This window comes from Homo sapiens, chromosome 12, assembly GCF_000001405.40.
Source record: "Homo sapiens chromosome 12, GRCh38.p14 Primary Assembly".
NCBI classification, from domain to species: Eukaryota; Metazoa; Chordata; class Mammalia; order Primates; family Hominidae; genus Homo; species Homo sapiens.
Window position 1 is genome coordinate 56,415,382 of NC_000012.12, and position 24,197 is coordinate 56,439,578.

The window sequence follows — 24,197 nt, forward strand, 5'->3', positions numbered from 1 at the left end:
GGAAATTTCAAAGAGGGATGGAAAGTCAGGGTCCAGTTCTGGACATTTCTTAGAAAGGCAGCCACGGCCGGATGCGGTGGCTCATGCCTGTAATCACGCCACCGGCTCATGCGGTGGCTCAAGCACTTTGGGAGGCTGAGGTGGGAGGATCATTTGAGGTCAGGAGTTCCAGACCAGCCTGGTCAACATGATGAACCCCCATCTTTACTAAAAATACAAAAATTAGCCAGGTGTGGTGGTGCATGCTTGTAATCCCAGCTACTCAGGAGGCTGAGGCAGGAGAATTGTTTGAACCCAGGAGCCAGAGGTTGCAGTGAACTGATACTGCGCCACTGCACTCCAGCCCGGGTGACAGAGTGAGATTCCATCACAAAAAAGAAAAAAAAAAAAAAAAAAGGCAGCTGCTAGGCCGAGCACGGTGGCTCACGCTTGTAATCCCAGCACTTTGGGAGGCCAAGGCAGGCGGATCACCTTCGGTCAGGAGTTCAAGACCAGCCTGGCCAACGTGGTGAAATCCTGTCTCTACTAAAAATACAAAAAATTTGCGGGGCGTGGTGGCTCGTACCTGTAATTTCAGCTACTTGGGAAGCCGAGGCAAGAGAATCACTTGAACCTGGCAGGCAGAGGCTGCAGCGAGCCGAGATCATGCTGCCACACTCCAGCCTGGGTGACAGAGCGAGACTTCGTCTCCAAAAAAAAAAAAAAAAAAAAAGGCAGATACTGGGGACAGCAGGACACAGCAAAGGAGCAGCACAGCCCGGATCATGGAGGGAAAACAGAGCAGCCCTGCTGGAAGGAAGCAGTGCTCAGGTTGCGAAGTGAAGAAAAGCTCAGGATGAAGAGACACCAAGACTGGCCAGAGCTAGAAAGTGTCTAGCCCTTGGAAACTTCAATTACCATGGAAATAGCTTCACTCCCACTTTTAGAGGCTATGGGAGATCCTCATCTTTTCAGGAAAAAATAAAAATGAAAAGTCAAAGCAACAGGGCAATCCAAATCCATCCTTTACTTAGAAGCCTTCCTGAGCTGAATGGCTATTTTCTCAATCTCACCTTTGCCCTACCTCGGCTGGAAGCACAGGAAGCAAGAAAGCTGACGTTTCCAAGAATGGGTAAGAACATAATATTTGCAGTATTTATCCATCCTTTTCATGCCTAGATTTTGTCCTTTTCTATGCCCCATGCCAACAAGCTGGCTTCTCTTCCTTTATGGCTCCTCCTTCTTCCTGCCGCATACTCTTGTCACCCTAAGAATTTACCCTAGACAAAAGGATCTAGAGGCAAAAATGCTTTTCTGTGTCTTCTGTAGGGAAAGCGGAAGAAAAGGGAAGGTTGTTGGTCTTTTTTTTTTTTCTTTTTTTTTGAGACAGAGTCTTGCTCTGTCGCCCAGGCATATGCACTGGCGTGACCTTAGCTCACTGCAACCTCTGCCTCCTGGGTTCAGGCAATTCTCCTGCCTCAGCCACCCGAGTGGCTGGGATTACAGGCGCATGCCACCATGGCCGGCTAATTTTTGTATTTTTAGTGGAGATGGGATTTCGCCATATTGTCCAGGCCGGTCTCAAACTCCTGACCTCAGGTGATCCGCCCGCCTCAGCCTCCCAAAGTGCTAGGACAACAGGTTTGAGCCACTGTGCCGGTCTGTTGGTCTCTTTTTACCCTAAAATTGTTAAGTTCTTCTTTCAAGAGCACAGCAGGGGAAGGGCTGGGGAACTTAGACATATCGCCAAGTCAGACTGAGATGAGAACTTCTAATCTTACATGTTTAATACCAAACACAAAGCAAACACATTCATCATCTAGAGTACTATATTCCAACCCTATCTCAAATGCAGGAATGGGCCTCTATCTGGTATCTAGAGGATGATCATAGGAAACAAAATGAGGACAGAGGCATCTGGTATCTTCTAAAAGTGGTACAAAACTCCCGCCTGTCATGTCATAAAGCTCCCCATCTGGTGCTGCGACCCACCTCCAAGAGAAAGCCAAAGGAACAGACCAATAAAAGGGGTCCGGGGTGCTTTCTCTATTTCACTCACTCCTCTTATTTGCTAAGGAGCTCCAATAACCAAAAGAAATGGTTCCTAGAAGAAGAGAACTAAATCTCCAGAGAGCTGCTGGGGCATACCGATAAAAACTGGGAGAAACAAAGACTGACAGCAGAGAAGTCCAATACTGCTGCTGAAGTTTCTCAGCCTAAATCCGTGAAAGAGCCTGGGATTCTACTGCTCTGTCCAGTAAGAGGAGCTTCTGGGTCCTGTATGACCCTTCCAACTCTGACTTGAATGCACCATCTAAAAACGTGTCTATCTCTACCCCTAGGCTTCTTAGCTCTTCAGTCATCCTCATCATCCTCAATCTGGTATCGTTTCTTCTTTTGGATTCCTGGAGCTCCCAACTCTGGTGCTGTGGGAACGATGGGGGTGAGAGAGAGAGAGAATATCTAAATATGTTAAGGGGTAAGGACGTGGTAGAGTTTGTCTTCAGGATTAGAGAAGAAAAAGAAGGTCCCATCAAATTCCCTACCTCTGTTCCTGCCCTCATCTTCTTCCTGTTCCTCGTCGCTGTCCAGCAATTGTCGTTTCTTGGGTGCTGCCTTCAGCGGCTCTTTACCAACAGCGTCTTCCTCTGCAATGACCATAAATGACACAAAATTAGGAACTCGGTCCTCATATTCTCAGAACACCTTTCCTGCCCTCTAGACCAACATGGCTGACACGTTAATACTCAGAAGATGGCTGTCGCACTATTACCCTCTGGGGATGCCAGGCCCGCTTTCTTCTTGTGGGCTAGCAAGAGGGCCCTCAGGGCTTGTGCTCGGTGCTCTTTACAGTGCTCCTCATCAGAGCCTTGCTCTCCAGGGACTTTAGGCTGCAGCTCTGGCTGCAGCTTCTGTTCCTCCTCTGGTTGACTCAAAGAAGCTGCTGCCCTCCGGAGCTGGGTAGGACTCAGCTTGGCTGGAATTCGCCAGAAGGTTTCCTACAGGGGCCAAAAAGTTGAAAAGGGAAAGGACCAGCTTTTTGTTTCCCAGAGTATGATATTCATTGAATATATATGACCCAATATTGGTGAAGATCCACAAGGGTTGTGAACTCTATTTATTATAATACTTACTATCTAATATATACCCAGTGCCTAGCACAGTGCCTGCTACATTAGGAGGTTCCCAGTTATAGGTTTTTTTGGTTGTTCTTTTTTTTTTTTTTTTTTTAAATGAGAAGGGGTCTGCCTCTGTCACTCAGGCTGAAGTGCAGTGGCACAATCATGGTCCACTGTAGTCTCGATCTCTTGGGATCAAGCTATCCTCCTGCCTCAGCCTCTCAAGTAGCCAGGACCACAGGGGTGCATGCCACCATGATGCCCAACTACTTAAAATTTTTTGTAGAGACAGGGTCTTGCTGTGTTGCCCAGGCCAGTCTCAAACGATCCTCCCACCTCAGCCTCCCAAAGTGCTGGGATTACAGGCATGAGCCACTACACCTGGCTATAGTTGTCAATTGAATAAATAAATAAATAAATAAATCCTGGGGATGTAAAGGTGAATCAGGTATGATCCTTGCTATCAAATAACTCACAATCCAATGGGAAAAAGAACAAATGTACTGTAGTATCACAGGATTTTTTTTTTTTTCTTTTTGAGGCAGAGTCTCACTCTGTTGCCCAGGCTAGAGTGCCGTGGCAAAGCAATAAAGGCTCACCCTCCTGGGTTCAAGCAATTCTCCTGCCTCAGCCTCCCAAGTAGGTGGGACTACAGGTGCCTACCACCACACCGGGCTAATTTTTGTATTTTTAGTAGAGACAGGGTTTTGCCATGTTGGCCAGGCTGGTCTTGAACTCCTGACCTCAGGTGATCCGCCTGCCTCAGCCTCCCAAAGTGCTGGGGTTACAGGCGTGAGCCACCATACCCAGCAGATTCCACAGGATTAAGGCTGCATCAGGGGCATGAACAAATCACAGCTGCAAAAGTGATTATTTTTACTTCAGGGGTTGAAAGAATGACAAGGACTGCTTCTCTGACAAGGTGACAATTGAGCAGACTCTTGAAGACTGGGTAGAGGTCCATCAGTAAGACAGATGGAGTGTGTGTGTGTGTGTGTGTGTGTGTGTCACCCTGTGTGCACGGTTGCAGCCTTCCAATAGAGGGACTGGCATGATTAACCATTTGGAGGCATGAAAAAGCCTACCAGGGTGACTATGATGTAAAGTCGGTGTGTGAGTGGTGTGGCTGTGAGGCTGCAAAGGTTGGCCAAGGATGGGGATGCCATTTGGAGTTTGTGGATTCTGTCCTGCAAGCAGTAAGGAACCATCAATGGCTCTGGACAGAGGACTTGACCCTCCATATCCACAAGTTCTGAGTCTGTGGATTCAAACCACTGTAGATCGACAATATTAAAAAAAAATAACAATACAACATTAAACAATAATACACAGCCTGGGCAACATGGCATAACCCCATCTCTACAAAAAATACAAAAAATTAGCTGGGAGTGGTAATATAGGCCTGTAGTCCCAGCTACTCAGGAGGCTGAGGTGGGAGGATCACCTGAGTCTGGGAGGTTGAGGCGACAGTGAGCTGAGACTGAGCCACTGCACTCCAGCCTGGGTGATGGAGTGAGACTCTGTCTCAAAAAAAAAAAAAAAAAAAAAAAATATATATATATATATATATGTGTGTGTGTGTGTGTGTGTGTATATATATATATATAAATAAAATGTATATATATATATTTACAATACAGTATAACAATTATTTACCTAACATTTACATTGTATAGGTATTATATGTAATCTAGAAATGACGAAGTATACAGGTTGTACCTAGGTTATTTACAAATACTACAAAAAGGGACTTCAGCATCTATAGATTTTGGTATCTGTGGGCAGGGGGGTCCTGGAACCAATCCCCTCTCAGACACTAAGGGACAACTGTAATCAAGACTATATTTTAAAAAGATAAATCTGGAGGCAGTCTGGAAGATGGATCTAGGGGAAGGGGAGATTAGAGAGAGGAAAAGAAGACTAGCAGAATGGCTGCTGCAGGAATCTTGGTCAGAGATGACAAGACAATGAGAAGGACCAAGATGACGATAAGGATAAGGAGGACCACCATGACAGTGAGGAGGAGGAGGAGATGTATTTGGAAATAGGACTAACACGCCTTGGTTGACACTGTAACTGACATATTTACCTGCCCAGAGGCAGGGGGCCGAACCCCTAGCTTGCGCAACAGCTGCTGAAACTGTTCGTTTTCCATGGCTTCCTCATTTTCCTCTGTGAGTGGCACCAATGGAACGGCCTGGGAGCAGCCTAAGACAGGGTCAATAGTCATATGGTGAAGATATAAGGGAAGAACTGGTTCTCCATCCCATGACCAGGTAGGTCTCCAATAGCCTCCAGGGCTCTTCTCCTAAAAGTGTCACCTGTCCACTCACCATCCTCTTCCCGATCATCAGCTGCTCGGATCAGGCAGTTCTGGAGCCATAGGAGCGGGATAGAAAAGCCTAAGGAAATGAGGGAAACTTACATTTGACCCTACTCCCAAGCCCTCCACCTGAGACATCTCTCCCAGCCAAAGTCCTCACCTTCCTGATGCAGGCTTTGACCAAGGTTTTCATTTGAAAGGACTAAGCTACCCTGGACTTGTTCTGCTTCTGAGCCCCCTTCTTCTTCCTCTTCGCTGTCTTCCTCAGGCAGGTTTTCCTCTTCTTCCAGATCTTCCTGGCAAAAATCTTTCAGGGACTCCGCTCCATTTGGCTAAAATTCATTGGGGGTTGGGGGAATGAAAATGAAGGCAACACAAGGAACTTAGTGGAGTCTCCTCGTTCCTGACCACCGCACCCCCCCGCGCCTGCTCTCTCGGAAGGACCTGGTCAGAACAGCCTCAGGCAGGAAGAATCCAGGTGGACTGCTCCTAAGGACCACTTCAAGGGAAGTGAGCCCATGCCAGCAGAGCTAGGGTCAGATTGTTACCAAGATGGAGGATGCCAACTTTTTCTGCCGTTTCTTGTACAGCTCCCGCCGCTCAGCCACCAGCCCCAGAGCCAAGAGTTTATCCACTATTCGGGCCCGTGAGCGTTTGGCTGTGATATTCTTCATGATATGACCCAGGACATCTATAAAAAGCAAGCATGTGAATACCCAAGGGTAACAGGGAAAGAGATGAGTAAAATAAATCAGAGGTCTCTGGAAAGAGGGTACCTCAATTCATCCAAAAATGACACTTACAAATATAGTAAGTGAACAGAAGGGATGGGAGAATCTTTCCTTGGGAATAAAAGGCAGCCCCAAAATAAATGGATAGCTTGGCTTTCATCTCAAAGGTCCCCTGAGTTTCCAGCTTACTCACCATCTGAGTCCCGGAATTCCTCAAAAAGCCGCTGCAGCTCCAACTCCTGATCCCCCGTCCACAGTACAATATGGGTTCCTTTCCTGATTAGGAAGGTGTCAGTGGAAGAGGAAGCCCAGGAAGTGATCACGAGTCCCCATCCCAATAGCCTCCAGAGCATGTGCCTCTCTACCTTTGGAAGTCCTTGACACTGTCAGCCAGTCCCATCTGTACCAGATGGTGGATGATCTGCTTGCGTGTTCGAGGAACAGTATTCAGGTGGGCCAAGATGGCTTCCACCACATCCTGCCCTGGCGTGGGGAAGGACTAAGGCAGTAAAGAAGGTCCCACAGCTCAAGCTGCCCTCCTCATAAACTCTCCAGATCCCAAGGCCTCTCACCTTCCACGTCCTTATTGGCGAGGTACAGCTCCCGAAGATGAGCCTCTTCTTCGGGGCTCCATGTAGGTGCTCTGCGACTGGAAGACCTGAATGGTGAAAGGAGAAAGGGAGCATATAGGTTCTTGGCCCAAAAAGAGGAGACCAAAGGCCTTCTCTGATCAGTTCTGAAAAGAACAGGAAGGACAAGGCAGGTAACTGAAAGAGGCCAGCCAGCAGAGGCCTACAGTGTGCCTCCTTCCCCTCACTTTCCTTCCACGTAAGAACCTAAAAGTCAAACTAAGAGATTTTCCAGGTTGGGCCAATGGAACCCTGACCATTCTGACTCTAGGGACTGAGAATATTATGGGAAAAAGAGACTAAGTGTGAAAGGAGAGGGGCTGAGATACTAAGGGAAAGAGGACAAACATTTCTACAAATCCTCATGGTTTCCCAGCACATTTTGGGAGAGGTCGCACACAGACTCCCTCTGGGCAACCACCCAGCTCCCAACAGTGACTACCTCTATGGAGGCTGGTGATGGAGAAGGAAACTAGATACACACTAGACTTAGGCTCCAGTCCCTGCTCCTCTCTTGGATAACTTTAGGTAAAGCATTTCACCTCCTGAGCCTGTTCTCTCACCCATAATAGGGAAAGAAACAGTGGGCTAAATGACATGCAAGCTCTTAACAGCTTTGACATTCTGTGACTCTGCATCAAACTTCCCCTACCCCCACCCACCCTTTGCCAACTTCAAGCTCACCTGTCATCCAGGGAGCCATAGCCCTCAGTCATCTCTCGAACCACAGCTGTGTTCTTCCAGAACAACAGCTCCACAAAGGCTTTTTGGTTGACTGCAGCCAGTGCAAAAAATTTGCCCAGGATGTATTTGGCAAAAGTCACTAGCTCCTGTAGGAGAAGGAGGTTACTATGAGGCCTCTCTGGTCCAATGCAGACCCGAACCTGGCCCTCTAGGTATTTTCTCTATAGCTGTTCCCAGCTGCCCCCTCCTCACTCACTCTCTTCTGTCCTTCTCCATGCAGCTCCCTCAACCTGCCTGTCTACTTTCTCATTGTTTTCCCATCTCCCAGCCCTTGACACCTCTCAGCACCTTCTATCTCCTGAAGATTATTTATTTACCTGAGGGTTCCCATACCCTTCCAGAACCCCATTCCTTGTTATCCCCTCACTTTGTAGGCTCCAGCAGCAGGGTCACTAAGCAGACGATTGAAGAGGCAGAAGACTGACAGCTGAAAAAGTAGGGCTTCCATTTTGAGGTCATGGGCCAGCCGGTGCAGCATCTTCACAATGCAATGGTTAGTGTGGGCACTATTCTGCTGGTAGCTCCTTAGTAGCAGCACATAGGCTCGAACGACAGTTGAACATGCAAAGCTGCACCAAAACAAGGAGGGAGAGGATGTCAGCATAAGGAAGACATAGCTCATCCTCACAGCCGCACAATCGCCACTCTAGGACCAACTCAGGCCTCTCAGCCCGCACCGTTTCAGGTAGTCCAGAAAATTAAATTCTTTCTCCGACACCTGGACCACTTGCAACTCCTCCTCTTCCTCCTCCTCCTCCTCTTCTTCTTCCTCTGCCCCACGTTCCTCTGGGCCCTGCTGCCCTATAGACAGAGGGAGGATTACTGAGTCTCTGTTATGTTGGTGCTAGAAAAGAGCTGGAAGGAGACAGATGTGAAGGGTGGAGACTCACGGGGAAGTGGAGCAGAGAGGATTTGTTTCAGCAACTGGATCTCTTCCTCTGGAGAAATGTCTTGAGAGCCAAACACATCTCCTTCAGGCCACACCTCCCTGGAGCACAGATAGAAAAAAGGCTTTACCCAGGGGAAATCTGGCTTTAAATTTATAATTCGAAGTAGAAGAAGGAATTTAGACTTATTTCTTTTGTTGGCCAGAAACAGAATGCAAACTGTTACCTCAAATGAAACAAAGACTCCAGGGAAAATTTTCCTCATAAGCCACAATTCAATAAAAACCAGCTAAGAACAAAATGCAAACAATCTAAATGTTTGACACCTGGTTGAACAAATGTACATATTCACACAATGGTGTTTTAAAGCCATTAACAATTACAGAAATATATCTGATGAGAAATCATGCTCATAATATACTGAGAAGTGAAAAATTACTATAAATCAGCATGTACAGTATTTCATTTTTGTAAAACAAGGTATATACGATATTTTTACATGTAACGGAGCAAAAAAACCTCTGGATGGTTACTCATCAAAATGTTAATGATGCATATCTTTGGCTACTAGAATTAAAGTTAAGTCCGCCCTTAATGTCTTCAATAGGTTCTTGGATACTGCCACTTTAAGTGAAACAATGTATAACAAAACCAGTTTTTTTTCTCTTAACGTTATAAGAAACATGCCGTAGGTCATTTTACTCAAAGCTGCAATTACCAAGGACTTATTGATGATGTCAAGTGAGGATTTGCTTTCTTTATTTTTTTCTCAATTAACTATGCTTTTTTAATGTTTTTCAGAAACAAAAAAACCCAACAAACCAATCAAAACGCCCCAGGAGTCAGTTGGTATACAGTCCCAGAGCCTTGATGAGACAACTCTCTTTTGAAGACTGAGAACACTGTACCGCAGTGATGGCCTCCTCCTTCCCCCAAAGCCCAAGAGGATGAGCAGGCAGGGTTCTTACCGAGCAGACCTCAGGAGAGTCAGGGCCTGTGGGGCCTGGCCAGCCAGGAGACAGTCTTGGATCCGTACCATAGCTTCTGCCCGCTGCTCCTCCACTGGCACCTCTGAGGCCGCATCAAAGGGAACCACGGAGTCCATGCTGAGCTCAGAATTCTAGAGATGGATAAAGCTATGGGAGCGGAGGGAGTGGAAAACCCAGATTGTATACCCTGAGCACTATTCTCAAAAAAGACAGGGTTTCTGTAACCACCTACCTGGGCACAGCACTGTAGCTGCTCAGCCAGGGCTGGCCACACAGCCTCCACTTCTTCTGGGCTAGATGGGACATTACCAGAAACAATGGCCTGGTCTAGGACCTTCTTCTTCTTCTTCCTTCTCTTCTTTTGTTTGTTCTGTGGGGAAAGAATTGTATTAGGATGTCAAGAGAGCTAAAGAGGGCTTTCCCCATCAGTGTCTTTTCTATTACAAAACTAATTAACTGGACATTCACAGAGTGCCCATTATCTGCTATCCATCGGTAATAGAAAGCAATAGTGAACAGCATATTTCCTTCCCTTTGAGGAGCTTTTACTCTAGTGGTGGAGACAGGAAGTAGAAAGGTAATTACACTAGAGTGTGGATAAAAGCTATAATGTGAGTGAGCATAAGATGTCATGGCAAAACTCCTGACCCATTTCCTGAGTTCAGAGGTTTGCCAAAAGCAGTGCTATCTCAAGAGGTCTACAGAATAAGCAGATGCTATGAGGATCAAATAAGACACATGGAAAAGCTTCATAAAATGCAAAGCACTATGTAAATAAAGCCTCTAATTTTTTCTCCTGAAAAGTAGGACAGCCAGGCGCAGTGGCTCACACCTGTAGTCCCAACACTTTGGGAAGCCTAGGCAGGTGGATCGCTTGAGGTCAGGAGTTCAAGACCAGCCTGGGCAACACAGCGAGACCCTGTGTCTACAAAAAATACAAAAATTAGCCAGGCATGGTGGTGTGTACCTGTAGTCCCAGCTACTTGGGAGGCCGAGGCAGAAGAATCGCTTGGGCACGGGAAGGAGAGGTTGCAGTGAGCTGAGATTCAGCCACTGCACTCCAGCTTAGGTAACAGAGCGAGACCCTGCTTAAAAAAATAAATAAATAAATAAATAATTAAAAAAAAGAAAAGCAGGAGAGTGAGTCAATACCCAAATCCTGCTTCTCCCAAGTCAGGGCTGTGAACCAGTCTTTGGTGTGGGTACTGAAAAGTCAAACAGGATGAACTGAGAGGCCCCTGAAGGTCATGCTCCATTAAAGAACTTACAATCAAACACACCAAAACTTAGGAGCATGGAGTCCAGCAGATCTGGATTTGAGTATTGAATTAGTATTACTAACAAGACTTTGGACAAGTTGCTTAACCACTTTGGGCACATGCGCTACTGTGAGGATTACATGAAAACGTCAGCACAGTGTCTGACACACAGTAAATGCTCAATAAATGATAGTACCTAGTATTACAGATAATACCACAGAGCTCTGAGTGCAAAAATACCCTTTAGCAAAGTCTCGTTGGTACTACTGCATCTTTCAAGTCCAGTTATGACAGAATTTTAAGCTGTAGCAACTAGAGTTATAGGAAGGTTCTGGTACAAAATCTTTTTTTTTTTTTTTTTTAAGACAGAATTTCACTCTTGTTGCCCAGGCTGGAGTGCAATGGCGTGATCTCGGCTCACTGCAACCTCTGCCACCTGGGTTCAAGCGATTCTCCTGCCTCAGCCTCCCAAGTACCTGGGATTACAGGTGTGTGCCACCACGCCAGGCTAATTTTTGTTTGTTTGTTTGTTTTTTGAGACGGAGTCTTGCTCTGTTGCCCAGGCTGGAGTGCAATGGCATGATCTTGGCTCACTGCAACCTCCGCCTCCCGGGTTCAAGTGATTCTCCCACTTCAGCCTCCCAAGAAGCTGGGATTACAGGTGCGCATGACCATGCCTGGCTAATTTTTGTATTTTTAGTAGAGACAGGGTTTCACCATGTTGGCCAGGCTGGTCGTGAACTCCTGACCTCAAGTGATCTGCCCGCCTCAGCCTCCCAAAGTGCTGGGATTACAGGCATGAGCCACCGCGCCTGGCCCAAAATCTGTTTATACAAAGCAAAGTCTCTGTGTTTCCAGGATACAAATTCCTTGGAGTTTGCATTTTGTCCCAGGGTTTTTTTTATTTTAATGTGAACCAATAATTTTATTTTTCAGAGATAGGGTCTTGGTCTCACCCAGACTGGAGTGCAATGTCTCAATCACAGCTCACTGCATCCTCAAACTCCTAAGTTCCAGTGATCCTCGTGCTTCAGCCTCCTGAGCAGCTGGGACTACAGGTATGTGCCACCATGCTGGTGAATTGTTTTTGTTTTTTGTTGAGACAGAGTCTTGCTCTGTGGCCCAGACTGGAGTGCAGTGGCATGATCTTGGCCTACTGCAACCTCTGCCTCATGGGTTCAAGCAATTCTCGTGCCTCAGCTTCCCAAATAGCTGGGACTACAGGTGCGTGCCATCACACCCAGCTAATTTTTGTATTTTTAGTAGAGAAGGAGTTTTGTCATGTTGCCCAGGCTGGTCTCAAACTCCTGGCCTCAAATGATCCACCCACTGTGGCCTCCCAAAGTGCTGGGATTACAGGCATGAGCCACTGTGCCCAGCCTGTCCTAGGCTTTTCACTGATTCCACTTTGGGTTCATGGACAACTGTCACAATCCCAACTTTATGGATCTGGAGACCGACACGACCAGCTTGAGCTTATTCCAATAATAACCAATACAGGACTAGATTCCAGACTTTCTAAAGTTCAATTTAAGGCTCTCTTTGTGTTGCTGTTGAGACAGAGTCTCACTGTGTCACCCAGTCTGGAGTGCAGTGACATGATCTTGGCTCACTGCAATCTCCACCTCCTGGATTCAAGCGATTCTGTCTCAGCCTTCTGAGTAGCTGGGATTACAGGTGTGCATCAACACGCCTGGCTAATTTTTGTATTTTTAGTAGAGACGGGGTTTCACCATGTTGGCCAGGCTGGTCTTGAACCCCTGACCTCAAGTAATCTGCCCACCTTGGCCTCCTCAAGCGCGGGGATTACAGGTGTGCGCCACCATGCCTGGCCGCAATTTAAGGCTCTTTCCACCTCACCACAATGCTTTCAAGGTATAACCAGAAAATGCTATAGCATAATTATTAGACTCTAAAATTATGAATCCCCAGGGTTTTTGTACTTGGCATGTGGTAGGTGTTCAATAAATGTTTCCTGACTGAACTAAAATATTTATGGCAGATCAGAGATTATTCTAATGGGAGAAGGAAACTGTAGTAGACTCACACTGGCCAACACCCACAAACCTCTTGCTGTCGTAGTTCAGAGCACGTTTAACAGATGAACTTAAGCTGTACAAACTGTGAGAAGAAAGAGCCCCCCTTCCTTGACTCTCCCTTACAGCTCTTTCTACATTGTGGGGCTGCCCAGTACCTGCACCACCAGGTTCCCACGGCTCCGACAGAATCGCTCCAACATTTTGAGGAAGAGGTGGGTGGTCTCCACCAGGTCACGAAGGAAAGAGCGGGGCTGGCATCTCTCATCAAACTTTCGAAAAAGTGCCAGGAATAGTTCTCGGTACTCCATCACATAGAAAATATTGTCTAGGAATGGGGAAGAGAAAGGGATGGAAGGGCTATTCTGGAAAGCTTGAAAAGGAGAGATGGATGAAGCTGGGACTGGGAAGAATGAGATTCTCATCACGAGATGGGACAGGCTGGGATCGGGGACCAGGCCAGGGCCTCACTCTTGATGATGCGGCTGCTCTCCCTCACAGCCTCATCTGGAGATATGTCCATCTCATTCACTGTTGCCAGCAGCTCCTGATAGGCCTTCAGAGCCAAGTGCATCCTGAGAGTTGACGGGAAACGGTGAAATGGAGGACAGCTTAGGGCAATGGCCCATGGAAACAGCAACTTCCCACAGCGAAAAAAAAAAATGTGCCACCCAAACTAAATTTCCCAGCCAGTCCTTGCTCCCCAGACTGATCACCTGAACCCTGAATCAGGAAAAAAGCACCAGCCAGAATTCAAGCATTCAGATCCCTAGCTCACTGTATCTCCAGTAACCATCCCACTCACCGGCGTGCCCAGGAGGCAGCTTCCTTGCGGTCAGTCAGCATCATCTCATAGTAGTTGGTGAGGTTCTGCTCAATGAAGTGGAAGGTACGGACACTGAGGGTCTCAGAAACCAGGCCTGGCCGGAAGGAGGCAGCTCGGTTGAAGGCCATGAAGAAAGCCAAGGCCCACATATAATAGGTCTCATCATGCTGCTGAGCTTTCTCCCGAAGCAGGTGATCCTGACATTTAAAAAAGAAAAAAAAAGATCACCATGACTCCAGGGCTTCCAACTTCTTCCTTCCTGTCCTATGATGATGGAATGGATGCTGGACACCGTCATAATTTTTTTTTTTTTGAGGCGGAGTCTCACTCTATTGCCCAGGCTGGAGTGCAATGGCATGATCTCGGCTCACCGCAACTTCCACCTCCTGGGTTCAAGCGATTCTCCTGCCTCAGCCTCCTGGGTAGCTGGGATTATAGGTGCCCGCCACCACGCCCAGTTAATTTTTTGTATTTTCAGTAGAGATGGGGTTTCACCATGTTGCAGGCTGGTCTCAAACTCCTGACCTCAGGTGATCCACCTGCCTTGGACTCCCAAAGTGCTGGTATTACAGGCGTGAGCCACTGCGCCTGGTCTTTTTTTTTTTTTTTTTTTTTTTTGACAGTCTTGCACTGTCATGATGAGGCTGGAGTGCACTGGTCTGATCTCGGCTCACTGCAACCTCTGCCTCCCAGGTTCAAGTGATTATCCTGCCTCAGGCTCCTGAGTAACTGGGACTACAAATGCACACCACCATGCCGGCTAATTTTTTTTTTTTTTTGTATTTTTTTTTTTAGTAGAGATACGGTTTCACCATATTGGCCAGGTTGGTCTTGAACTCCTGACCTCAAGTGATCCACTGCCTCAGCCTCTCAAAGCGCTGGGATTACAGGTGTGAGCCACCACGCCGGGACACCGCTATAATACTCTAGGATCCACAATTTCCAACTCTCTCCTGTTCTCCCTTTCCTCTCCCTCTGAGGCAATTTTTCCAGAGCCTCTTTTGTCATGCCAGGAGCCCACTCGTTCCTGGCATTTTCACTATCTCTCAGGGACATCCTAACTGTATATCCTTCCCACCTACGAGTCCACATTCCAGGGGCAGCCTCCCCGAGCTCCTCCCCACTTCTTACCCACCAACAGCTGCATCATCACCTGTCTATTCCATTCCTGATTATCTCCATATCCTTCACAGGTTCTCACCTTTACTGATCCCATGAGCCGGTTGTAACAGTTCTCCAGGAACTCAGAGCAGAAGTCTCTGAGGAAGAGCCTCACATTGAGGGCAGAACGGCGCTGAATGGACAGCTCTCGGGCGGCCTGGCGACGTTTAGGCACCTTTTTCGGCTGCTTTCCCAAATCTGAACTGTAGTTTCGTAGCTGGGTGTGTCGGTTGGGGGATTAGAATTACTCCTAAATACCACTTTCCCCTTGCAGCTCTCGTCAATTTTCTCAGAAGAAACTAATTTTTGTTTTTCTTTTGAGACAAGAACTTGCTCTGTCACCCAGGCTGGAGTGTAATGATGCAATCATAGCACACTGGAGCCTTGAACTCCTGGGCTCAAGGAATCCTCCCACCTCAGCCTCCCGAGTAGTCAGGACCACAGGCGGGTGCCACCATGCTCAGTTAGTATTTTTCACTTGTTGTAGGGACAGGGTTTTGCCATGTTGCCCAGGCTGGTCTCGAACTCCTGGGCTCAAGCAATTCTCCTTCCTTAGCTTCTCAAAGTGTTAAGATTACAGGCATGAGCCATTGTACCCAACCTTTAATTTAATTTTTTTTTTAGAGACAGGGTCTTGCCATGTTGCCCAGTCTGATCTTGAACTTCTGGGCTCAAGCAATCCTCCTGCCTCAGCCTCCCAAAGTGCTGGGACCACAAGTGTGAGCCACCAGGCACAGCCAAGAACTCTTAAGATGATTACCCTGCTTAAGCTATGCAACTCCACTATGTTCCCACTCCAGATGTAAGAATACTCACGTTGTGAAGGCCTTTGTGAAAGATGAGGTCCCTCTCCCCAATGGATTTCAACCCCTGGACAATATAGGAGCCCCCAAATCGAGAATGCCTGCAGAAACAAAAAGGTCCAAGGTGATTTTTCAGTTCTCTGGAAACTTTATCTCCATTCTCTATCATCGGCACATTGGAGCAAGTTAAAACTACAAAATGTTGGTCGGGCACGGTGGCTCACGCCTATAATCCCAGCACTTTGGGAGGCTGAGGCAGGCGGATCACCTGAGGTCGGGAGTTTGAGACCAGCCTGGCCAACATGGTGAAACCCTGTCTCTACTAAAAATACAAAAATTAGCCTGGCATGGTGGCATGCGCCTGTAGTCCCAGCTACTGGGGAGGCTGAGGCAGGAGAATCGCTTGAACCCAGGAGACAGAGGTTGCAGTGAGCAGAGATCGTGCCAGTGCACTCCAGCCTGGGCGACAAGAGCAAAATTCTGTCTCAAAAAAAAAAAAAAAAAACACTAAAATGTTGTTCAATCACCCCACCTTAGAATTTGCCTTCTATGCCCTCAGCATTCCATGATGTAGGAAAAAGAACCTGCCTCTCTGTCACTCACCTGTTGCCTCGCTGGAGGGCTCGAGTCTTCTTTTCTGCCATCTCTCGCTGGCGCAACACCTCCAGTTCTGCAAAATCTGCACTCCGCTCCTGAGCTAAGCGTCCCTGCCCTACTCCCGCCAGCTGCTCGGGGTTCTAGATTGGAACAAAGAGGGAAGAATCAGGAGGACAGTCATTCCTTATCCTGAGTTCACGCCTACTGGGGATGCAAAGAGTGAACAAAATAGAACCCCATTAATGGGGCATTGTGCTGTCGTTCTCCCTTATCTGAGGGGGAAATGTTCTAAGACACCCACTGGATGCCTGAAACTGCAGACAGTACTGAAATATATATATGTATATATTCATATATACATATATATATTTGTATGTGTATACACATATACATAGAACATGTACGTTCTATGTTTTATAGAATGTATATATGTGCTATATATATAGTTATCAGAAAACAGAACATGTATACATATATATATACGCACATACACATATTCTATTATGTTTTTTCAATTTGATAACTAAGATGGCTAGTACATGACTAACAGGCGGGTATACACTGTGGATATGCTGGGCAGAGGGATGATTCACATCTTGTTTAGGACAAACAGGGACAAAAGATTTCATCACACTACTCAGAACAATGTACAAGTTTAAAACTTCTAAAATGTTTATTTCTGAAATTTTCCACTTAATATTTTCAGACCATGGTTGACTGTGAGTAACTGAAATCAAGGAAAGAAAACCATGAATAAGGGGGTACTACTGAACTCAAGACATGGCTACTCCTGCTGTCGCCTGCCTTCCCCAGATAATGCAGCCATTATCACAAGAGCAATTCTGGCTGTACAGCAGAAAAGTACATGGGCGGAGGGGACTCGGGCAATAGGCCAGGGTCTCACCTGGTCACGAAACATAAGGGAGACAATCTCTAGCACATGTAGGCTCCATTGCTCCTCAGCAGACGAGCTGGCCAGAAAGAGGAGCAGGTCATCCAGGCCGCTGAGGTGAATCGCCCAGAGGAGCTGGTCATGGGCACTGGCGTCATCATCAATCTTCTGAGCAGTGAGTGGTGAGGGTAGAAAGGAAGCTCATTCAATCCCACTGCCCTGCCTTGAAGCTCTCCAACTCATTCTTTGACCAAGCCTCCTCTCCCAGACTTGTCAGAGGACAGAATAGCCCAAAAAGGGCAGCTTGGCCGGGCGCGGTGGCTCACGCCTGTAATCCCAGCACTTTGGGAGGCCAAAGTGGGTGGATCACAAGGTCAGGAGATCGAGGCCATCTTAGCTAACATGGTGAAACCCTGTCTCTACTAAAAATACAAAAAAAAAAATTAGCCAGGCATGGTGGCGGGCACCTGTAGTCCCAGCTACTCAGGAGGCAGAGGCTGAGGCAGGAGAATGGCGTGAACCCAGGAGACAGAGCTTGCAGTGAGCTGAGATCGCACCACTGCACTCCAGCCTGGCGACAGAGAGAGACTCCGTCTCAAAAAAAAAAAAAAAAAAAAAGGCAGCTCAACCTAACCATGCACAAGAACACAGAACACCCAAGACCCTCACCTTCTCCTGATCAAGGTCAGCTGGGACATGGAGAATATTTCTGACCAGCAGTAGGATCCGTTCAATCAGCAAGTTGTCTTCCTCCTGCCGTTCCTCCCAGCCCTAACCAGAAGAGAGTAAGAGGAAGAGACTCCCTGTGGAAGGCAGGCAGTATGTACTCTGGCTGGAAGACCCAGGCATAGAAGAGAAGCAGGATTAAAAAGAAAGAGTTCAAACAGTACTGAGGCAGCCAGAGACTATGGATCGGACTACCACATCCCCAAGGACTGGGACCATATCTCAGCATCTCCTCCTCTGCCCGGAGAAGGTGCAAAATGCTGTCCCATGGTATCCTGTAAGGTGAAGACTCACTCACCAGCTGCAGCAGCTCATACAAGGTTTCACTGAGGACTCCAAAAGCCTTCTCACTGGCAAAGGCCTGTGAAATAGGGAACCTGATCTTAAGTAGCAGTCATCCACTTCTTCACCACTGCCCCATATTCCACCCCAGGGACTCCAAAGGAAATCCTCACCTCTTTGTAGGCCTGCAAATAAGTTAGCACCTGCAAAAAATGGTGCCGAAAGCTGGGCTCCTTAGGCAGATTGCCAAAACAGAGCAAGGCTGGTTGTGTCAAGTTCACCATCAGTCTGGGAGACAATGAAGGAGGGAGAAGTTGTTAAGTTTCTTTACCAGCTCAAACGCCAAACCTATCAGCTCAAACACCAAAGCCTGGCAGGTGGCAAAAGTTTAAAAGCTAGGGAGGCAACCTGATAACAGCATCAAAGAGAGGCTTGTCCTGGTGGTGCTGGGTGAGGATGGGCAGAAGGTCGCTCTGTAGGATCTGGGCTGCCCCCAGCTGCTGCCGCACATCTCGTGTCTCATCCTCATGCCTCAAATAGCGGATCAGATCCTTCACGCTCTCTTCAGAGACAGAACAAAACATGCATGTGGAACCTTGGAAGAAGCTCCATCCAGACCCACATCTTTTCACACCCATGGTTTGAGGAATTCAACAGACCTCCTTAATTCAAGCCAATTTTTTTCCTGTTTCATCAAAAAGGTACTCACCTAAGCAATCTGGTTCCTTATGGTAAGTGTCTCCCTCCAAGTACCCAAGGGCACTACATGTGGCTAGAAGTTCACAGTTCATCATGTGCAAGTCCATACATCAGTGGACCAACCAACAGAGAAGGAAGTGGAGAAACAGGAGACAGAAATGATGAGGCCTGGAGAAATAGAGAAAGATAAAAAATGTAAGTTCCTCTCCATGAAAAGAAGATAGGAACAGGACGAGGCCCTAATGCTCAGAATATTCTGAACAAGATCCTCAAATGTTTGACTTTTGTCACAACCAAAAGTTCTGCTCTCAGCCCCAGAGAAAGTTTTAAATAATGGCTTCTACCTGATCAAAACCAAAGAGGCTCCAGCCTATGAATTAAGCACCTACCCTGGCCAGGCGCGGTGGCTCACGTCTGTAATCCCAGCACTTTGGGAGGCCAAGGCAGGCAGATCACCTGAGGTTGGGAGTTCGAGACCAGCCTGACCAACATGGAGAAACCCTGTCCCTACTAAAAATACAAAATTAGCCGGGCGTGGTGGCGCATGCCTATAATCCCAGCTACTCGGAAGGCTGAGGCAGGAGAGTGGCTTGAACCCAGGAGGCAGAGGTTGTGGTGAGCCAAGATCATGCCGCCACACTCTGGCCTGGGCAACAGAGCGAGACTCTGTCTCAAAATAAATAAATAAATAAAATTGTTAGACCCTGGCTGGGCACAGTGGCTCATGCCTATAATCTCAGCATTTTAGGAGGCCAAGACATGATGATCATTTGCCCCAGTGTTCAAGATTAGCCTGGGCAACATTGTGAGACCCCATCTGTACAAAAAGCCAACCGTTGTGGCACACACCTGCACTCCTACCTACTCGGGAGGCCGGCTGAGATGAGAGGACTACTTGCGCCTAGGTGTTTGAGGTTGCAGTGAGCTGTGATTGCACCACTACACTCCAGCCTGGTCTACAGAGTCTCTGGAAAAAATAAATTGCTCAACCCTGTCACCCTCCACTTTCTGTGGCTCTTCCAGGCAGACACAGCTCTGATGTACCACAGGAATTAAAAAAACCGAGCTCTGGCCATACAGTGATTCCACCAAGGATCTAATACATCTCAGGAGCCCTGAGGCTTCTGAGACACTGCGAATGTGTAGAGAAAGGTCCTTCACTCTCCTCTCCAAAGTTACTCTTAAACCTTGGTAATTTCAGTAGAAATCAGCATCTAACAGAACAGGTGAGGAAATGGAGTGAATAGAAACTGGTACATTCCCTATCACTATCTCCCAAAGAATCATCTTCTTTTAAAAAAAAAAAAAAAAGAGAAACAGGGTTTCACTCTGTTGCCCAGGCTGGAGTACAGTGGCATGATCACAGCTCATTGTAACCTCAAATTCCTGGGCTCAAGCAGTCCTCCTGCCTCAGCCTCCTGAGTAGCTATGACTCTGGGCATGTGCCATCATGCCTGGCCTTTTAAAAAATTTTTGTAGGCCAGGTGCGGTGGCATCCCAGCACTTTGGAAGGCCAAGGCAGGCAGATCACCTAAGGTCAGGAGTTCGAGACCAACTTTGCCAACATGGTGAAACCCCATCTTCTACTAAAAATACAAACATTAGCTGGGCGTTGGCCGGGCACGGTGGCTCATGCCTGTAATCCCAGCACTTTGGGAGGCTGAGGCGGGCGGATCATGAGGTCAGGAGATTGACACCATCCTGGCTAACACGGTGAAACCCCCTCTCTACCAAAAATACAAAAAATTAGCCAGGCGCGATGGCGGGCGCCTGTAATCCCAGCTACTCAGGAGGCTGAGGCAGGAGAATGGAGTGAACCCGAGAGGTGGAGCTTGCAGTGAGCAGAGATTGTACCACTGCACTCCAGCCTGGGCGACAGAGCGAGACTCCGTCTTAAAAAAAAAAAAAAAAAAGAAACAGCTTGTTTAACACTCCGAAAAAGTATACAGTATATGATATAATCTCAGCTATGTCCTTTAAAATCCATAATCACTATGAAAAACTCCATACTGTCTATGGAAAAACCAAACTCTGACAAATATTTAAAGAGACTTATTCTTAGCCAATGAGTAACTGCAGTCCAAGAAAACACTAATTTAAGAAGTCTTGGCTGGGCGTAGTAACTCATGCCTGTTATCTCAGCACTTTGGGAGGCCGAGGTGTGTGGATCACCTTAGGTCAGGAGTTCAAGACCAGCCTGACCAACATGGTGAAACACTGTCTCTACTAAAAATACAAAAATTAGCTGGGTGTGGTGGTGTGTACCTGTAGTCCCAGCTACTTGGGAGGCTGAGGCAGGAGAATCGCTTTAACCCGGGAGGCAGAGGTTGCAGTAGGCCGAGATCACGCCACCACACTCCAGCCTGGGCCACAGAGCAAGACTCCATCTCAAAAAATAAATAGAAATAAATAAAAATAAAAAGTTGGAGTCAGTAGAAAGGAATGTTTAATATTAGCGTAAGTTAGTTAAGGAAGTCTGCTAACCATCGTGTGATTGATGCTATGCCAGAGTCAAGTTATGAGAGCAAGCCATAACATACTGGGTCCAAGTGACCTGTTTAGCAAGATGGATGGGCTGCAGACATGGCTCTCTCCAGGCTCCTCAGAAAGGAATTTAGAACACCGAACAGTGGTCAGAATTCAGTAAGAATACATTATCCTTATTTTTCTCATTTCACTTCAGACGGATGGAAATGTCATCATATATTAGTGTTCTTCTAGCATTTAGAAATCATTGATTTATATAGTAAAAATCATAAACCAGTCCAACAAAAGGAAAGCTCCATGCTGTAGGGCTTCATTTTGTTTTGCTCATTGCTGCATTCTCCAGTGCCTAGAATAGAGCTTGGCATATAGCGAGCATGCAATTTTTTTTTTTTTTTTGAGACAGAGTCTCACGCTCTGTTGCCCAGGCTGGAGTGTAGTGGCGTGATCTCGGCTCACTGCAACCTGTGCCTCCCAGGTTTAAGTGATTCTTTGCCTCAGCCTCCCAAGTAGCTTGAATTACAGGCGCACGCCACCATACCAGGCTAACTTTGTATTTTTAGTAGAGACGGGGTTTTACCATATTGGCCAGATGTGTCTTGAACTCCTGACCTCAGGTGATCCACACACCTCGGCCTCCCAAAGTGCTGGGATTACATGCTTGAGCCACTGCGCCCAGCCAAGCATGCAATAAATATTTGCCGAATTTTGAATCAACAGATTATCCTGGGTCATACCCTTTGAAACAGTAAACTGATTTCAGAAAATATAACTGAAGAAAATAATTCATAAAAGAAAGGAAATCATTTGTACAAAACCAAAAATAGTAATACCTTTTCCTAGTACACTCAAGTTTGCAAAATGATTTTATAGCTTTTTTTTTTTTGAGACAGGGTCTCACTCAGGCACCCAGGCTGGCACCCAGGAGTGCAGTGGTACAATCACGGCTCACTGTAACTGAGGAAGCAGAATACAGAAAATGAGGCAGGATAATAGTAAAGGGAATTTAAAGTTGGATAAAGGGCAGAATGAGTAAGAACATGAGAGCAGAAGCAAGGTGAAGGGGTAGGTGAGCAAGAAGCAAGATAAAAGGCAGAAGTTAAGCAGGCCAAAACAAAAAGTAAGCTAAGAGAAGCAAGCAAGGACCCCATGGCCCGCAGGATCAAGACCAAACCAGCAAGGGGCAGCTCTTCAGGGCAAGTCATATGCATCAAAGAGAAAAAGTGTCCTTATGATGACCCCGTATGATAATCAACTCATCAACGCTCATGCACATGGACTGCATATCATGCATGTACTTAAAATTATGGGATGGAGGCAGCAGGCAAGCACTAAGCAACACACCCATCAATCAAAAAGGCAGACACTGACTAGAGATTAGGCAGCCAAAAAAACACATAAAAAGACCCAAACTACACCAAACTAATGCTGATCTCATTTTGCAGAGGTCAGTCTGCTCTCTCGCTCCGAGAGTGTTAATACTGGGCTTGATAAACATTTTTTTTTTTTTCTGAGATGGAGTTTCGCTCTGTCACCCAGCCTGGGGTGCAGTGGCACGATCTTGGCTCACTGCAACCTCTGCCTCCCTCCCGGGTTCAAGCGATTCTCCTGCCTCAGCGTCCCAAGTAGCTGGGATTACAGGCATGCACCACAACACCCAGCTAATTTTGTATTTTTAGTAGAAACGAGGTTTCTCCATGTTGGTCAGGCTGGTCACAAACTCCCGACCTCTGGTGATCTGCCCGTCTTGGCCTCACAAAGTGCAGGGATTACAGGCGTGAGCCACCGTGCCTGGCTTGCCCAGCTAATTTTTTGGTATTTCTGGTAGAGACAGGGTTTCACCATGTTGCCCAGGCTGCTCTGGAACTCCTGACTTCAAGTGATCCTCCTGCCTCCTAATTATGCTAACTCAAATTTGAAAGTCTATATTTAAAAAGGGCACAGCCAGGTTCAGTGGCTCACGCCTGAAATCCCAGTACTTTGGGAGGCCAAGGCGGGAGGATCACTTGAGCCCAGGAGTTTAAGACCAGTTTGGGCAATATAGTGAGACCTCGTCTCTACAAAAAATTTAAAAAATGAAATTATCCGAGTGTGGTGGTGTGTGCTTGTGGTCCTAGCTACTAGAGAAGCTGAGGTGGGAGAATTACTTGAGCCTGGGAGGTGGAGGCTGCAATGGGCTGATATTGCGCCACCGCACTCCAGCCTAGATGACAGAGCAAAGCTCTGTCTCAAAAAAAAAAAAAAAAAAAAAAAAAAAAGGAATGGAATACTGACTGATACATGCCATGAAGTAGATGAAACTTGAAAACATGTTCAGTGAAAGAAGCCAAACACAGCCGGGTGCAGTGGCTCACACCTGTAATCCCAGCACTTTTGGAGGCCAAGGTGGGCAGATCACCCTGAGGTCAGGAGTTGAGACCAGCCTGGCCAACATGGTGAAACCCTGTCTCTACTAAAAATACAAAAAAATTAGCTGGGCATGGTGGCGGGCGCCTGTAATCCCAGCTACTCGGGAGGCTGAGGCAGGAGAATCGCTTGAGCCCTGGAGGTGGAGGTAGCAGTGAGCCCAAATCGTGCCACTGCACTCCAGCTTGGGCACCAAGAGTGAAAACTCCTTCTCAAAAAAAAAAAAAAAAAAAAAAAAAAAAAGAAGCCAAACACAAAAGGTCATATATTGTATGATGGAATTTATATGAAATGTCCAGAATAGGCAAATGCAATAGGCTGATATGGGCACAGTGGCTCACGCCTGTAATCCCAGCACTTTAGGAGGCTGAGGTGGGCAGAAATGGTTGTACAACTCTCTGAATATACTAAAAATCACAGAATTGTACAGGGGTTTTCTTTTTTTTTTTTTTTCTTTTGAGACAGGGTCTCACTCTGTTGACCAGCCCAGGTTGGAGTACAGATCAATCATGACTCGCTATAGCCTCAACTCCTTGGCCCAAGCAATCCTCCCACCTCAGCCTCCCAAGCAGCTGGGACCACAGGCATTCAATACCACATCTGGCTAATTTTTAAATTTGTGTAG

General features: G+C 46.9%; 1 protein-coding gene across 3 annotated transcripts in view, besides 2 other annotated features; it reads right to left on the reverse strand.

Annotated features, from left to right (window-relative positions):
• Positions 1 to 981: 981 nt before the first annotated feature.
• Positions 982 to 24,197, reverse strand: part of TIMELESS (timeless circadian regulator) — a 33,064-nt gene continuing 9,848 nt past the window's right edge. Inside the window, exons 2-29 of one of the 3 annotated variants that reach the window (NR_138471.2) lie at positions 18,693 to 18,850; positions 18,392 to 18,545; positions 18,157 to 18,271; positions 18,000 to 18,062; positions 17,645 to 17,746; positions 16,988 to 17,143; positions 16,090 to 16,223; positions 15,500 to 15,587; positions 14,724 to 14,900; positions 13,502 to 13,719; positions 13,168 to 13,271; positions 12,855 to 13,024; positions 9,634 to 9,771; positions 9,381 to 9,532; positions 8,416 to 8,513; positions 8,244 to 8,326; positions 7,893 to 8,094; positions 7,466 to 7,611; positions 6,725 to 6,810; positions 6,518 to 6,635; positions 6,346 to 6,428; positions 5,970 to 6,112; positions 5,582 to 5,753; positions 5,432 to 5,500; positions 5,188 to 5,306; positions 2,753 to 2,978; positions 2,526 to 2,627; positions 982 to 2,405 (exon numbers count right to left, since the gene is read on the reverse strand). Coding sequence is in view for 2 of the 3 variants with exons in the window: in NM_003920.5 (NP_003911.2) it covers positions 2,335 to 2,405; positions 2,526 to 2,627; positions 2,753 to 2,978; positions 5,188 to 5,306; positions 5,432 to 5,500; positions 5,582 to 5,753; positions 5,970 to 6,112; positions 6,346 to 6,428; positions 6,518 to 6,635; positions 6,725 to 6,810; positions 7,466 to 7,611; positions 7,893 to 8,094; positions 8,203 to 8,326; positions 8,416 to 8,513; positions 9,381 to 9,532; positions 9,634 to 9,771; positions 12,855 to 13,024; positions 13,168 to 13,271; positions 13,502 to 13,719; positions 14,724 to 14,900; positions 15,500 to 15,587; positions 16,090 to 16,223; positions 16,988 to 17,143; positions 17,645 to 17,746; positions 18,000 to 18,062; positions 18,157 to 18,271; positions 18,392 to 18,545; positions 18,693 to 18,789 (3,627 nt within the window). In the remaining variant the exon portion in view is untranslated. Of the gene's footprint in view, positions 2,406 to 2,525; positions 2,628 to 2,752; positions 2,979 to 5,187; positions 5,307 to 5,431; positions 5,501 to 5,581; positions 5,754 to 5,969; positions 6,113 to 6,345; positions 6,429 to 6,517; positions 6,636 to 6,724; positions 6,811 to 7,465; positions 7,612 to 7,892; positions 8,095 to 8,202; positions 8,327 to 8,415; positions 8,514 to 9,380; positions 9,533 to 9,633; positions 9,772 to 12,854; positions 13,025 to 13,167; positions 13,272 to 13,501; positions 13,720 to 14,723; positions 14,901 to 15,499; positions 15,588 to 16,089; positions 16,224 to 16,987; positions 17,144 to 17,644; positions 17,747 to 17,999; positions 18,063 to 18,156; positions 18,272 to 18,391; positions 18,546 to 18,692; positions 18,851 to 24,197 lie in introns of all 3 variants that reach the window. The other 2 variants (NM_001330295.2, NM_003920.5) reach the window with 2 other exon arrangements.
• Positions 8,005 to 9,204: an enhancer, noted in NCBI's record as "BRD4-independent group 4 enhancer chr12:56817170-56818369 (GRCh37/hg19 assembly coordinates)". NCBI's record gives its function as "activates an origin of replication core promoter dependent on BRD2, P300/CBP, MED14 and CDK7 cofactors, and independent of BRD4, by STARR-seq in HCT116 cells {active_cell/tissue: HCT116}" and the evidence as "EXISTENCE:reporter gene assay evidence [ECO:0000049][PMID:35650434]".
• Positions 8,017 to 8,264: a silencer, noted in NCBI's record as "fragment chr12:56817182-56817429 (GRCh37/hg19 assembly coordinates)". NCBI's record gives its function as "represses an EF-1alpha promoter that drives an FKBP-Casp9 reporter gene in an ReSE screen in HepG2 liver carcinoma cells {active_cell/tissue: HepG2}" and the evidence as "EXISTENCE:reporter gene assay evidence [ECO:0000049][PMID:32094911]".